General features: G+C 48.3%; 1 protein-coding gene across 5 annotated transcripts in view; it reads right to left on the bottom strand.

Moving 5' to 3' along the window:
• Nucleotides 1-820: 820 nt before the first annotated feature.
• Nucleotides 821-16,537, bottom strand: part of ARHGAP10 (Rho GTPase activating protein 10) — a 340,689-nt gene continuing 324,972 nt past the window's right edge. For 4 of the 5 annotated variants that reach the window (NM_024605.4, XM_047416160.1, XM_047416161.1 and 1 more), the window contains 3 exons: nt 10,297-10,449; nt 9,090-9,181; nt 821-1,604 (listed from right to left, as the gene is read on the bottom strand). In NM_024605.4, the coding sequence (NP_078881.3) occupies nt 1,516-1,604; nt 9,090-9,181; nt 10,297-10,449 (334 nt within the window). In that variant the 3' untranslated portion in view covers nt 821-1,515. The remainder of the gene's footprint in view (nt 1,605-9,089; nt 9,182-10,296; nt 10,450-16,537) is intronic. The other variant, XM_005263215.4, reaches the window with a different exon arrangement.

Genomic DNA, 16,537 nt, shown 5'->3' with positions numbered 1-16,537 from the left:
CTGTTAACTGGCAAGCTCTTGAGTCAGTTCATCTGGGGATGAGGCAACAGACACATCCGTCCTTTGATAAATGTTTGAGAGAAGTCTGACAGGTCCAGGAACCTCCCATGGGGATGCATGGAAAGTCATGCCTGCCCCAGAGCAGCCTCTGGGGCATGGGGCTGGCTTCAGAATCCTGAGGCCACTAAAACTAAGCCCCACATTCCAAGGCAAGTCCCCTCTTCCCCAAGAGGTTGTTGCACCTGTGGCTTGTAGGTGGAGGAGAATGAGGAAACATCAGAGCAAGGCCTGCCCAGGCTGGGGGTGGCCATCATCACGGGGCAGGGCAGGGTCAAGGGTGAAGGCTCCTCCAGGAAGGTCTGCTCTGCCTCCCTCTCCTCCCTCCACGTCGAAATTAATCCAGATGGAGAGATTAGCAGGGAGGCCTGGAAGGCAGAGGCATGCTGGGTGGTGTAGGAGAGGGGTGTACAATGGTGCTGGTAGGACGGCTGGTCCCAGGGCACTGAGATGGCTCACACAAACCACCCAGGGCCAAAGCCCCAGCCCTGCTCCAGGTCCTGCAGGCACCAGGGTAGAGAGGCCTGTGCAGCCACTGGAGGAGGTGTGAATGCCCTTCCAGGATTGCACACATCAGAGGCTGCTGCTGCCCCCAGGAACACGCCCCACCCCGAATACTCCAGGCTCCCCGCTAACAGATTCTACCTGTGAGCAGGCCAACAGCAGAGAGAGACGAGTCCCCATCGTAGGCTGCCAATTCATAAATCAAGACGGGGCAATGACTTCCACGACCGCTTCCCCACATTAGGACAGACAAATCAAATAGTAAATTACAGTTTATTTCATTTACAGAGACCTTGAGGCAAAAAGGTGGTGTTTGGAAAACAGCACACGGGTGAGGAGCACCGAGAAGCCTGTTACAAATACGCCAGTGCACGCTGCCAGTGCAGTGAGTGTGGGGTCCTGCAGGTGGCCGTCTAGGAAGGGCAGGCTTGAGACGCGCGTCTCTGCTTCCCTCTGACTTGAGACCATCTCCCTTGCACCAACAGCAGCTTCTCCAAGCTAGGCTGCCACAGCCAAGCACACACTCTGCAAACCTATCACTGCGAGTAGTACAGTTCCCTTTAAAATCGCAGCAGCAGGTGCTCAGGGAGGAGAGGGAGCCAGGGTGGCTCTGGTGGCGTGACTGCCAGTGGAGGCGACACAGGTGGCAGAAGGCTGCCCTCCCTCTCATTCTATATGCTGGATAATTAAAAATCACAAGTCCCAATACTTGACAAATGAAAAGTCCATTTTGCGAATCCTGACATTCCCCTCCTGATCCACAATCACAGTTCTGTGTGGTGCGTCCCATCCCTGCCCACCACCCCCCACCCCCAGGGCTGACTGTGATGATGGTAACTCCCAAGTGTGGAGGTACCTGTGGGTGCAGCCCAGAGCCTCGGAGGAGGAAGACAGCTCTCTGCCCCCAGGCAGGTCCCTGGGTGCCAGGGTCAGCAGGGGCTCTGAGGCCAGGAGCTACAGCAGCTTGACGTAGTTCTGTGGAATCAGCCCCCTCTTGCCGTTCAGAGTCCCTTCTAGCCAGCCAGGTTCCCTGGAGGTTTGTACTGAAAAGGAAGAGAAAAATCACTTTTACAAAATGCCCCCAAGTACTTGCCTCCTGGGTGTTCACTTAAAAGCTCAAGCAGGGAGTGGCCAGTAGAGAACAGGGGCCACTTCTGGGATGTTGGGTCACAAAGTCTGCACCAGGGTCATTGACAGGCTCTGCCTCCCTGCACTGGCCACCACAATCCTCATCTACACAATCCCAAAGCAGCCTCCTAACTAGTGTCCTAGTTTCCAGAGTCCGGCCCCTTCCAATCCACTGTGCACGAACATGCACAGTGAACTCTCTAGAACACAGAGCTGATCACATCACTCCCCTGCTTAAAGTCAAACTCAAGCTTTTTGTGTTTTTTTTTGTTTGTTTGTTTGTTTTCTTCCTGAGAGGGAGTCTCGCTCTGTCGCCCAGGCTGGAGTGCGGTGGCGCGATCTCGGCTCACTGCAATCTCTGCCTCCCGGATTCAAGCAATTCTCCTGCCTCAGCCTCCTGAGTAGCTGGGATTACAGGCACGCACCACCATGCCTGGCTAATTTTTGTATTTTTAGTAGAGATGGGGTTTCACCACATTGGCCAGCCTGCTCTTAAACTCCTGACCTCAGGTGATCCACTCGCCTTGGCCCCCCAGAGTGCTGGGATTACAGGCGTGAGCCACCACTCCCAGCCTCAAACTCAAGCTCCTTACTGGTCTGTAACACAGGCCCCTGGGCACCTGGCTCCAGCCGCCCCTCCAGGAGCTCTTCACACTCCACTGGCACATCATGCATGTCAACTGCAGTGAATCATCCAGAGAAATCCCAACTGCAACTCCAGGCCTTTGCAAGTGCAGTGGCTTCTGACTGGAATGCCTTTCCCCCACCTCTTCACCAGGTAGTTCCTCCTGTTTAGAGACCTGATTGGATGCCTCCTCCTCTCAGAGTCTCGTCTGACTCCCACACTGTATGGGAAACTCCTGAAGGCAGCCTGAGCCTTATACATCTGGGCATGGTGCCTGGCACAATGGACTGTTCATAAATATTCACGTGATACTCAACGAGAAAATTGCAGCCTGGACAGCAAAGGGCACAGGTCCAAGCACTCCTCACCAGTGTTCGGAAATGCAATACAGAAGCATTTCATAACCCCCAGCTGTGAGCAGGCCCCAGCTCAAACCCCCAACCATGGTCAGGTGCAGGCGTGGCAGCCGTGGCATAAAGGAAAGGGGAGGCATGAGCTACTCCAGCGGACCAACTCGAAAGGTGGCTTCTGATCACAACCCAGGAGAATAATTTCATATCAAAAACCAAGTACAGGCATACACATCCGTAACACACACAAGTTTCATGAAGCAATACTCTTACCCTCACTGCGCGCATGCAATGCCTTCCTTTCTGTATTCTACTCTTTTTTTCCCCATAGATTTGTGTAGAAAAGTATTATTCTTTGAATGCTAATTGCAACTCAGCGAATTGAGTTCATGGTCCTCTAAGGTATAGCTGCCCACAGTTTGGAAGACAGGGACAATCCAATTCTAATTGTCCTTTGCAACAAGGTAACTGTTTGTTCTTCCCTCCCCTGGATGAATAGGAACACATTCCGGCTGTCTGCAGACTAACCGCCTGCACTTTCCTTACATTCAGTAAGCTTCTGGCTTCAACGCCTCCCTGGAGCTGTTCCCTTGGGCCTGAATGCTATTCCCTGCCTTTATGCCTGGACAGCACCTACTCATGCTTCAAAGAGCAGCTTCAGCATCCCCCCACTTCCAGGACTCCTCTCCTGGCTCCAGACCAGGTCGGGGCTCCCAGTTATGCACCCTACATGTTCTGTGTGCGTGTGTGCAGGCATACGTGTATATATAGGAGAGACACACTGAGACATTCTCTTCTAGTCCAGACTATGAGAGCATGTAACACATATAACATGAGACCCAGCACCTAGCACCGTGTCAGACACATGATTATCTGTGTAATGACTGAGTAAGCAAATTCAGAGATGTGCTCTCAAAGCGATCTGGCAGCAAGTTACTTCCTTCATGCCTTCACTGACCTTGACTCTGACATTGTTCTTCATACCAGGATTTTTAGAGACTTCTCACTTCATCCAAACACCCCAGCTGGCAGTGCTACTAGTGTGCAGCCACCATCAGGGAAAAGCTTTGGATTCTATGCAAAACAGGCCCTCAGGGTTGTAACAATGTGGGGGCCTGAGTGGCAAGGGGCCCAGGGCTGAAGTCAGAGCCCTAGAGGAGACTCCTGGCTACCTAGATGCATCTGGGAAATTAACCCCTGGGCCTTGCTCGGCTGTTACCTGCAATACGGGGTTACTAGCACTTAGCTTGCAGGACCTGCTATGAGGAGGCAGTAAGAGAGTCTCAAATATAGTCTCACCTGCACATGCTCACTATTTCTCCTCCTACCCTATACACACCACACACTTGCGCAAGCACAGACTCGGTATTAATAAAAGACAGGATGAACAGAGGAGGAAAAAGGTGATTTTCTACAACGCTGGAGGTGAAAGGAGGCTTGATTGGGGAAACCAAGGCCAGGCCGGGAATCCTGCATCTCCCCAACCAACAAACCAGAGAGACGCCTCCACAACCCCATTCACCACCTCCCCAGCCCTCCCCTCCCTGGAAGGCAGAAGCCAGTAGGGAGAGAGATGTCACTGCTTTACAGAGGCGACCAAGGGGGATCCTGTAACATCCAAGAGCCTTGGAAGTGGACCCAGCTGAGCAGTGGGCGAGGTGGGCTACAAGGGTCTGGAGACCAACAGCAAGGCATCCCCAAGCACAGGAAAAGTGGCTCCGCAGTTGCAGATAAGGCTGGCAGGCTCTCCCTCCCTCTCTGAAGATCTGACCTCTCTCAGTAGCATCGAACCCCAAAATACCCATCTGGGGCTCCTCTCCTAGTTTATCACACCACTCCTCCCCCAAGCAGTGTCTACGCGGACAACAGGGCTCTGCTTTTCCATTCTTATGGGTGGAGAACATGGCAGTCTCAGTGTCTGTCATTTCCCACGCACCCTCCCTATGCCTGCAGGTCTCAGTCCAGGAACCTCACCCTGCTTCAGCCACGGTGTCCTCACAGCCTTTAGACCACAACAGGGAACAAGACGGGTGTGAGGCAGGGACCCCAAGTAGCACCAAAGAGAGGCAGGTCCCTTCCACCAACTCAGTTTTCAGCATAATGTAGACAGTGTATGTGACAAGTACTGAAATCACTGAATTGTCATCATCACACGGTGAGTGCCAGGAACCCACACTCAACTTCAGAACTGCCACAGGACCCACAGGGAGGCTGCGTCCTGGGCTCTGTCCTATCTCCCACCCCGAGGCAACCAGTAGCTTGAATGTTGTGTTTCTCATTATCTTACCATGGCTATGGGTAAAATTCAGTTTTGTCACACAAGCACATATCCCTAATAATATCCTATTTATTTTGCATATGTGTGAGCTTAACCAGAAGCACATAAGTCAGAAGCGCATAGTCATCTGGAACTTATTTTTTCACTCGATATTTTTTTCTCAGATTCCCCTGTGCTAGGAATCTATCTGGCAACCACATCGCTGGGCTGTGGGGTCTATATGTGATCAGCTTTCCAAGATAATGCCAAATTGTTTTCCAGGGATTATTCTGTGTCTATCTGAGACCTTTAAAGTTTAATCGCCAGAGGCTTTTAAGGATTAATTTGGGCCACACCTGCTCCCCCACATCTACATGTGGATGTTGACAAAGAGCCTGGGACAGCCAGGAAAGCAGTCCCGCTGCTGCTGCCGCTGCCACGTGGGGTCGCTCCTGGAAACCACCTGCCTCAGCACCCCTCCCAACCCTGCCCCTGAGGAGGCAACCACTGCCCATCTAACTGGAGCGCACCTGACTGGAAAGACACAGCAGGACTGGCTGGTGGTCACCAGCAAAACCTATTTCCAGGATTCCCCAGGCCCAGAGAAAAGGGAAAGGTCCCTCTGGCCATCACAGGAACGTCACTGCCCTGAGACCTTACAAACACAGCCCTCTCCCGAGGGTGGGGGGCGGGGGAGTTGGGAGGCATAGCCCCAGAGAAACAGCTAGGCATTAGTGAGTCTACTAGAGAAACACATCTTCCGCCTAGAACTGGAACTCATAACTTAAGTCCAGGCCCACCCAGTAAGAGCAAAGAACAAGGACAGTCATGGAGCTACACAATTGCTAAAGACCCCTGTGCCAACCACACTCTGGGTCAGGATATCTCACAGCTGCACACATCCCAAACGCATAACTACTGACGAGGCCGCCCAGGGGTCACTCTGACCTCCAGTTTGTTTTCTCCAAAGGCCACTGGGTGGCATAAACCAATTTCCTTTGTTGCCTGTATGAGGTACAAAAAGGAATTGCACTGCAAGAGCATCTATGGAGGCTGGAAGACTCCAAATGGATAAGTGAACACAGGAAAAATGTCTTGGGCATTCCAGGGACACTAAGTATTGCTGGTCTGCAGAAAGGGAGCATTCCCGGCAGTACTCCTGTGGGCTGAGCTGTCTAGAGTGGCCACTTGGAACACTGCCTGGCTCCACAGAAGCCGTGGTCAGATGACCTGCCAGTCTGTCTTCTCAGTGTCAGTTGTCAGACAGGAAGACCCCATAGCCATTTAAGGAAGGGCTTCACTAGATGTGTTCTGGGCAAGCACCTGCTTTTAACTAGCTAAGAGATCAACTATGCACAGAAGATGTAAGGTGCAAACACACACACAGATAAACCCTGCTTAAGGGCTTTAAACTTACTGTACCCTTTGAAGAAGTGTTCCTATTAAGCAGCAAGCCTAATGCTGTTGATTCTGAACACCTTCCACTATTATCTGCCCTGCTGCAAAAGAATCAGGGCGGCACCTACAAGACAAGTAGCTCACATTAAATGAGACGCTCACATCCCTGGGTAGGGAGAGAGTGTCAACACATCCACAAGGTATTTTCCAAGTAGCCAGCCTTAGGGGAGGGACAGAACGAGGAGCTCCTGAGACACCCGGGGTGCCCCAGCCAGCAAAGTCCTGACAGAGCTGGATACCAGCACCGCAGAGCACAGAACCAAGGGAGACACAAACTGGCTCAAAGCGTAGCCTCGTCTATGGCACACTACAATGTACCCAGTGTGGCATCGTGGTCAGCAGCCTCTCCCCCATACGTCTATAGCAACTCAGAAACCTCTTTTTCTAGTAGCCCCAATGCTATCTTAATACAACATCAATGTTGTGGCCATCCCTGCCGCTTAGGATGAAGAATCAGCTGCACAGAGTCCTAAAGGAGCCTGTCCCAGGTCACACAGAAGATAAGAAAGCCATGGTGTGAGCCCAGGCAAAATACCTGCAGAGTTCAGAATCCACGTTGCCTGCAGTCAGTGGCTCTCCTCCTCCAAAACACACGGAGACACTGGTATTTGTGTGCACATGTGTGTACATATGTACAAATGTGTGACTATGTATGTGTACGTGTGTACACGCACACTTTCTTTTTAGGAAGACTCCAAATCATCTCGGGACTTTAGACCTGGAGAACGTAAGTCTCCTGGGTCAGACGCCTACCAGGCTGTCCTCTTTTATCCAAACTGGCAGATCTGCATTGGCTTTAGGCACTGACCCTCATTCACATGGCTGTGTGCCCAGAGCAGGTATCCTATACCCCGTGTGATTCTCATTGGTCTAAATCCTTGCAAATGATGGATGTAGGGTAAGCATGTGACTCAGTTCTGCATACTGGGATGTGAGGATGGGTAAACTAGGAAGAAATTCCTGGAAAAGTTTTCTCATTCTTAAAGGAACACAAGGATGAGACACCTCCTTCCGCCAGAGTGTGGCCATGATACATGGAACTGTGGTAGTCATCTCGCTCCCGCCAGGGAAACAAGACAGAGGCCCAGGTCCACCAGCAGAGAGCAGTTCCACAGAGAGATGGAAATACTTTGGTCTTTGATAACATCTTTGAGACTATGAATTAAAATTAGAGCTCCCTACTTCCACACTTACTATTGTGTAAACTAATCCCCTCAACCCTTTTTTTTTTTTTTTTTGAGATGGGGTCTCACTGTGTTATCCAGGCTGGCCTCGAACTCCTGGGCACAAGTGATCCTCCTGCCTCAGCCTCTGCAGTAGCTGGCACAACAGGTGTGCACCACTGCACCTGACTTTAATCCATCTTCATGATTGATTCAAACAGTTGTGTCAATTTTTGTTACCTGCAGCCTAAGGTATCCTAGTAGATACACCTTCTACCAAGGTAACTATCTCACAAACCATACTGCAGGAGGGAGTTCAGAGTCTTCTAAACAAATCCAATCACACAAAATAAAAATTCATCACATTTCTCAAATGAGTGCGTTTCAATACTACCATCGCACCCTCCCCTTCAGCCATATGGTGTGCCAACATGAGACAGGCCTGGGGCAGGGCAGCTACGTTCCACATTCTCTTGGCAAAACTGCATGTATGTTATGGTGATGGAGGAATGATCTTGCTTCTATTCCAAGAACAAAATTTCTCCACAAAGTCTAATTCTGTTCCATGTGGGGTTTTGTTGTTGTTGTTTGTTTTCTGACACTACCAGGAGTCTCTGTCTCTGAAGAGTACATATCACACGCATATAGAAATCTATTCTAAATGAGGCAACTTGCTTTCTAAAAAACAATCGTCAGCAAATGCTGCATTACTGACAGTACACCACTGTGCCTCGTGTTGATACATTCCACATATCCCAAACATTCTGGATAATCAACCATTCCATTCCAAGCAGCTAAGGTTCCTACTGCTTCCCTGGAACTCTTCTGAGGAGCTCCACCCACACACGACATCACGGTTTCCACAGCAACTAATGCATTTCATAATGAGCAGGACTGGGGAGGGAAGAAAGCAAGAGCAGGAGAAAAAAGACACTGAGCCATAAGAGAACTTTTTGAAATATTTAACCAGGCATAGCTCCTAAATGCTTGTGTATGAATATTAAATCCTCAAAAGCTACACCCTTGTTTCAATATGCAAAGTCAATACCCGAATCTGGAGACTCACACACTGTTCAAATCAGCAAAAATGTAAAGCACAAAAATGGTAAGAGAAATAGAAATCAAAAATTTTTAAGGACAGTAGTATCCTCTGTTGACTCAGAGTTGGTAAACCCGAAGCATTTAAAGGACTTGGTTAGCAACTCTGGGAGAACAAAGAAAATAAAGTGTGCAAATCAGAAACATTTCTTAAGTCCAAGTGACACTAGCTTCTTCCCGTCAGGAGAGAGATGACCTGAATGAAGACCCACAAGATGAGATGGGTCAGAGAGTAATCAAGAAGCAAGCATAGTGGCATTCCAGCCATCAACAACAGGCCCCTGGCATTGGGGTCTGGGAGCCTAACGCAGCCGCTTAATCCAGTCCAAAGCATCAAGGGGGAGACTCGCCCTCCCGACAACAGCACCATCGCTGACTGCTCACTCCATGCTGCAGACTTATTAATCCTGCGGACAGGATTAACAGACGAAGCTCCCACTAACACTTACCATCCTCAAAAATTGCTCCTATTTCAAAAGATAATTCCGAGCTGTGTTCTGCTTCACACGGATACACGGCTCGAGCCTTCCGACTGCGGATGCTGAAAAGAAAGAGAATACAAAAGACACCAATGAAAATGTGGAAAACAGAGAGAAACTTCACCCCCCAACCCCCCTTCCCCAAATCTCACTGATGTCACCAGTAGGGCAACTCCTCCCAAAAGAGAAATTAACGTGGAAGTGAACATCAGGCTAAGAACAGTACTTGATTTTCAAGTAAATGATGGGTTTCCAATTCAAGCCTTTCCTCAGGGAGCCTCTCTGAGGAGCTGTCACTGAACCACTTCACCTAATTCTCCTCCCTACCTGGTGGGATGCCCTTTCCTACCATTCAGCACTGTTAGAACCACAGGACATGTTTATCTCCAAGCACTTCAGTTGGTCTATTAGGAAAAGCACACGCACCTGGAGACACACGGCCAGCCGGCAGAAGGAGGCGGCACAGCCACACTCCACAGGTGAGAAACCACTGGCCCAGATCCACTCCGGGTGGCCACCGCTCTAGAAGGGGCTTGTTGCTCTTGCCTGAGTCTTCTGTATTTACACCCTGCCTCCGCCCCAAGAAAGGCACACCAGGCCCAGCTTCTCACCATTTGTTAAAGCAACCTCTGTGTCCGTTCATGGAAAGGACGGAAACCATGCTTTTAGCCAGTCTAATCAAATCCAAAGGAAACGCCTCACCTCACTGGTGTGGGGGAAGCCACTGACAGGAAGAAGCACCTGAGCCACTACAGGTGGAAGAGGCTGCTGGAGGGCAGCAGCTCTGTCCTCTATGGACTTGGCCACTGGATGCCATGGAAGCGAATGTTTCCAGTGCCAGCTTGCCTACTTTTAAAACGAAGAATGTGCTTTATACTCATGAGCAAGAAGTTCTTCCAAAATAAGAACTTCTTCATAAATGCACAACCAGCACCACAAAGACAGAGTAGGCTCAAGCAAGTCTCATGTAAGGCAAATTCTCCAAAGAACGTCCTTGCTACTGAACTGGGTGAGGCACGGCCCTGATACAAGGTGGTAAGTGCTGTCCATGAAGTCCAGGATGCTGGGGGTATCTGGGCAAGCTTTTGCCAGCAGAGAACACAAGAACCTGCTCAGGTTCATCAAGCCCCCTGTGTGTGCTGCCACCATATTCCACATTCCACTCCAAACCACGTACCTTTCAGGTGGCTTGTCCGCTACAGTAGCAGGAGGAGAAAAGGGGAAAGGGGACGACCCGGGTGAAAGAGGTGTCACAGCTGAGTTGGAGCTTGTTGTGGTTGGAGACTGTGGGTTAAGCCACTGGACCATAGACGATCGGGTCTGGCCTGGGCTAAGGGTAGGAGTTTGAAGGACAGGATTAATAGCAGAAAGGCCACAGAACACGAAATGCACAACATCCCAATCCCAGATGACTAGGTCACTAATTCCCCTATCATGCCTGACCAGTAGGGACAGAGTCCTCTCTGCATCCTGCCGGGGCTGCAGCCCAAACTACGGATACCAACAACCCAGAAACCAGCCACAGCCCCAAACTCAAGCTGTCTTACTGTCCTTCTCCAGGTTCTCCAATCTGTCCAACCTGCTAGCACCCTATGAGTTCACTAATTAGAAAACCAGAATCTAATTGATCAAAGGAGTAGTGGGACATTCAAGGTATTCACTTTTTCTAATTATAAGGAAAACCACAGGAATCTAGCATCAAGCACATGACCGGCAGCTGCAAAAGATCAGCTAAACATTTAAAGATCTTTCACCTGCTCCTACACGTGTGGCAATTCAGAAGAAAATGCCACTGGATTCAGGCTTCCTCTAGAGAGGGCCAAAGACTTCGAAACCAATGAACAGCAAAAACTTCTGGTGACCAGAGCATTTCTTAATATTTCCCTTTTTTTTTAAAGTTAATGTAAACAGGTCAGTGAACAGACACCTGGAATGGCCTCTAAGCACAGAGGGAGAGTTCAAATAATTGATGCGTGTTAATCTGAATTACTCTTCAGTGACCTCAGAACTGGAGGCGACTATGGTTTATGACATTCCCTTGAGAAGTGTCTCGTTTCATTCAGTGACATTTTGAACACACACGTGTTCCCTGTCTGCAGCACCCAGGTGCTCTTCACCTAAGATACCCCGTCTTCTGCTAAACCAGTACACCAGTTTCCACGAGCAGTTTCCCGAGGCTTCTGCACTCCTCAGCATGCTCTCAGATTGTTTCCCCTGCCGGAGAACTAGCACCGTGTTCTTCAGTACCAGCATGGTCTCCTGGCCAGCCCCTAGGTGCAATCCTCCAACACGGTGACACTCAGCAACCTAGGGCCAAGTTTACCCACTTGTCTCCCTATACACAATGCTCCTGCACCTGCTCACCTACCAGGGGCCGTCCCGCCCCAGCAGCCTACCCTGTCTGCCACAGCTCTGCTTCCTGGCGTTCCCACCTCCGCCTCAAGCTTTGCCTTTCCTCTCAAGCTCCCCGCCCTGCTCTAATCTTGCCCTTCCTTGGCTCAGCTCCAGTTCCACCTCCCCCAATACTCCCCCTGTGGCCTCTCTAACCCATACACCTTCCCTGAAGGCCTGCGACACCAATAAATGAAAGGGCACATTGATACTGGTTGTTCTCTGATGCCTTCAAGTATTTCTCTTGCCTCCACAGGAAGATCTTTAACTCTTTTTCCAGATCTCACGAAGCCAGGCAGATTGGCGGGGACATGGAGCCATCAGCCAACATCGGAGCAACCAAATTAGAAAGCTCTAAAACCAAAAGTGGATTTTACAAATCTGGTGCATAATTGACTTGGTAGGTATTTAATACACAGAAGCTTTCCTATGCTTTGGTCAGGAAAAAAAGGGGGTCATTTAAAAAAAAAAAACATTATTCTTCTAAGAGCTTATTTACAATTCCCTTATCCAGCCATTCATCTGGGAGTCATAAAATCTATTTTATCCCAAGGCAAGATTTGTTATAAATCTTAAAGTGATCTGTATCAACAGTCACAAAAGTCACTCCATTTTTTTTTAGCAGAAAAGGAACGCTGAATGTTGTCTTACTAATCAGGAACGGAAAGGACAGGTAGGCGTGAGTGAAGCCCTGGCAGGAAATTAAGGCCACAGTTAGCCAAACAATTGCCAAGTTATCTCCCAGCAATTATTCAAGGTGCTTGGAGGGTGTGAATGGAGGAAGATGAGATGTTTTGCCACACCCCCCATCAGCTCTTCAGAGTCATAAATCGTCAATGACTGCCATCCCTCTGCCTAGAGGGAGGACAGTTACAGGAAGAAGATAAAGTAACTATGTGACTACACTTATGTGGCCCTTGAAAAATAAAGAGCATAAATTTTATAGGTATTGTCTGCTTGATCCTCACATCTTTCTTTAAAAAAAAAAAAGGAAACCTCCATGAAAACACCCGCGGGTGGGTGGGTGTGTTTGTTTAGGGAAAATACCCCTCAGTTTTTAGAAAGTGAAAGAACCACTGTAATGACAGATACGCAACAGAAAAGCCTGCCTGTCCCGCACCCTGGCTTTCTCCATCTCATCCCAAAACAGGAACACAGAATCAGCAGTCCTTGTCCAGGGTCAAGTTCTCCACATTCACCTTTTTTGTTTTTTTGTGATCTTTCTGTTGCTATTTAACACATGCGCTATGTGATCTAGCACTAACCGGTTCACCAAGATTACCTCCCACACTTCCCATGTAGACTTAAGTTTCTGCATGTGATTTCCTGGGTGTGTCTCAGAAGCCTCTACTAGGTAACTCCTTTGATTTCAGAACCCCACAAGGGCAGACACACTGTAAGCTGGAATATTCACAAGACGGGGCAACGTGCAAGGCTGGAGACAGTGTCTATGGAGATGAGGCAATGAGATGTGTGGACAACTGGAAGCCTGTGAAAGAAGAGACCTGTGCAGCCAAACAAGGTTTGGGAACCAGCACAGTAGCTGCTTGGATAGAGGAAATTTTTCAGAGGCTTGTCGGCTGGGAAGGATCAGGTGAGGCAAGTGAGTAAATATACTTAAGTCGTGTAATGGGTTCACATCTAAAGCCAGTACACGTCAGATGATGCCATGTTTCACAGTGTCTCCCAAAAGCAACCTGTCCATATTTTTTGGAAGGCCAAAAAAAAAAAAAAAAAAAAACTAAACATGAGCTTCGTTATGTAACCATCTCTTACCTTCCAAACTTTGGGTTACTTTTTAATAAGAAGAATCGAAACATTTTTTAAATATCATCTAAAATGTAATACCTACATTTTCTCAAAAAACGGTAGAGGAAAGTATTAGTTTTAGAAGAGAATTTCTGATATTCTCTTTCCCTTCTTTTATTTAAAACATTTTGAAGGAACACGAGGCATTTTGGAATGGCAGCCCATAAGCAAAGGACTAACAGCTTTTCCTCAACCTGGGTTCCAAGAGAGAACTGAGCCCTAAGGCATATCTGTCTCTCGTCTCTCTCTCGTCTCTCTCCCCTCTCTCTCTCCTCTCTCTCCCCTCTCTCTCTCTCTCTCTCTCAAAGAGTGGGCTTTACCCATCATAAAAGATCTGGGTTTTCTAAGCTCCAGGTTTCTCTCTTGAGGCATGTAGGTGTGACCTGGCCCAAGCTGCATTGCCTTGTAGGAACTGGAACTCAGGGAACTGGCACAAGAAAACACTGATACTGTCATTGCTGTGATTAATAGAGGCTGTTGGCTCTGACCGCGAGTCCCACGCCTTCTGCCAGCATCCCGGAAACGATGGTAGGCTAATTTGGTAGCTCGCAAGCAGGGTACGGTTTCAGACCCTTCACAGTTCTTGACAGTATCATCCTTGGGAGAACTAAAACACTCACCAGATCATTTTTTTTGTACTCTGTGGTTCAGGGGAGAGCCCCAGCTTTTTCCCAAAGAACATCTTTGGGAAAAAGATCAAAGGTGATTAGTGAAATAATAATTAAAAGCTCATTATGTGCTAGAACATAATGAAATTTTTGAGAGTCCTTTCCTACCATTTCCCAAATTTAAACATTTAAAAAATCTATTTATTGCCTTTTTTTCTTGTTGTCCCTTTAACTACGGATTTTTGATTAGTAAGACTGGCATGAGCACAAACCACCAATTCTGTTTAATGCCAAGCTACTGACCAAGTACAAAAAAGTACCTAAGTGCCACAAGTTTCCTGAAAGCCAAGTTGCAGTTTGCGAAAATGGAGGAAGAAGTCAACTGTTCCTAAAAAGCTCAGAAACCACGTTTACCAAGACAGAAGAAATATACAGAACTGCTAATATCTGTTCGCTATCTTCCCAACTTAACACACTACACTGCAAAAGGCATCTCCTAAAACAGGATTCTTCTCTATCTTCAGCACGGAAGGCCAACATCACCGTCCTTCTTTCTCAAAGAAAGGGGACAAATAGAAACAAGAGTGTTTCACTAAAAGCACATGAAGATTTCAAATTGCTAACTTGGAAACACGTTCCTGAAAATGCACAGACTGAAAGTCTACCTGACTGTTCCTGACGCCACGGAGGCATTTCCTGTGTTTAGGTGGGGTGGGTGGAAGAGCTGGGAAGACAGTAAGCAGGGAAAGAATATGCATTTGTGTAAAGGATGAGGAAACTCTCTTCTTTAAAAAGAGTCAACACTCTTGCTTGGAAACATGGGCCTGAATTTCGGGGAAAGACCTTGTAGCTTTCACGTGCAGCAGTGGGGCCAAACCCCAAAACATGAAATTATGACAGTGCTGTATATGTGGTTACTTTACAAAGTGTATTTTTAGAAAATGGAACAGATCAGCAGTCCATGCTGCTTCTGATTCAAACTGTGATCCAGTCGCCTCCAGTACCAGACTCTACGCTCCACGCATATTAAAAACATTCTGGCAGCGACAGATCACAAACATTTCAGAAAGGGGGAAGGGAGTAGGGGCCTTAACTGTTAAAACTCGACACCAGTTGCACCAATCACCAGAGAACTCCTGCATCTAACAAACATTTCTTGCATAATATACACAGGTCAGGCTTTGGGCAGCACTAGAGATACAAGCCCCTGATTCCAGCCTGTATAAGCACTGAATGCAATCTAAATTCAAAAGGGTAGAGCGAGGAGAATACGCATTAAGAAAAGAAATGAATGCTTATTTGAAGTGACTAAATCCCCCAAATACCAAGATATTTCACTACGGTTATACAATACGAGATCAAATCAGAAGTTTGCACTGCAATGAAAGATTCTAAACTCTCATTTGCCAGGTCTCTGAGCAGAAGCTAACACATTAGTGAAATGATCTTTCATGCCAGTCTGGGAAACATACAGCATAAGTCTAGAACAGCTGTCCTGGGCAAGAGTGTTTGAAAATGTTAATAAAGACAGAAGGAAATATTGTAGATCTGTATATTATGGGAAAATCTCTGTTCAAATAAATGCCAGTTATTCCTTAAGTGCCAGGAGAGGGAGAACTCCACACGCAAGCACATTGTTTGGCTCCCCACGAGCACACCGAGGGACAACAGCAGTGCAGAGAAACAAAGGCCTGTGACATGCAAGTCGCCATAACCCACGGCGTTGGGGGAGAAGGACTTTGCTGCCCATCAGGAAGGTTCGGAGTAGACCCACTGGCTCATCATTTACAGTCTGAGGACTTCCTGTCAGGCCTTGTGCTAGTCCCTGGGGACACCCAGGAAACCGTGACACCACCTGCTCTGCAGCCAAGTGAGTGGAGAATGCCCAATTAATAACCATAATACAGGCACTGAGAGCCATGTAGCGATCTGCCCAAGGTCCCTCAGAGGAAGAGTGGAGGAAGCACCTAATAACCATGGGGATAGCCAGGAGGGCTTCCTGGAGGAGGCAGCATCTGTGCGGAGCTAATGCTGAAGCTGATGCTACCATAGTCAACATCGTCATCACCTCCCCACACCCAGGCTCATGTGAGGCACAACTGTGCAATCTAGCCCTGTGCTAGATGCAACAGGCAGGCACTAGTACACTTATTCCCAACCACCCTATTATTCCACATGACATATGAGAAGACCATCTCAGAAAGGTGAAAGCAACTTACTCAAGGTCATGTTTCTAGTAAACCCTGTTTTGACAAGACAGCACAGATCTCAGACCCTCAAGTCCTTTTCAGTGACTAGAATGGAATATGGAAAGAATGGTGAGAGATGCAAGTACCGGGATATTCAGGAGGCACAATCATAACCTAAAGGCAAAGAGGGGCCATTGAAGGATTGTACGCATGCAAATTACAAATGCCTAAGACTCTGCCACTCTGCAGAGAGACCTGGGTGCCAGAGCTGGCACTATCATTGTTGGCTGAGTGCCAGCTTGCAGTTTCTTCCTCCCCTAGGCTTGTTCCTCTTTTTGTCAATAGCTAGAGGCTATGCTGAGAAGGAAGCGAATGACTTACGAGTGCCCCCCAGAGGTTGGCCCACAGTTGCCATCATTAG

This window comes from Homo sapiens, chromosome 4, assembly GCF_000001405.40.
Source record: "Homo sapiens chromosome 4, GRCh38.p14 Primary Assembly".
Lineage (NCBI taxonomy): Eukaryota > Metazoa > Chordata > Mammalia > Primates > Hominidae > Homo > Homo sapiens.
This window is presented reverse-complemented; position numbering and strand designations above follow the sequence as displayed.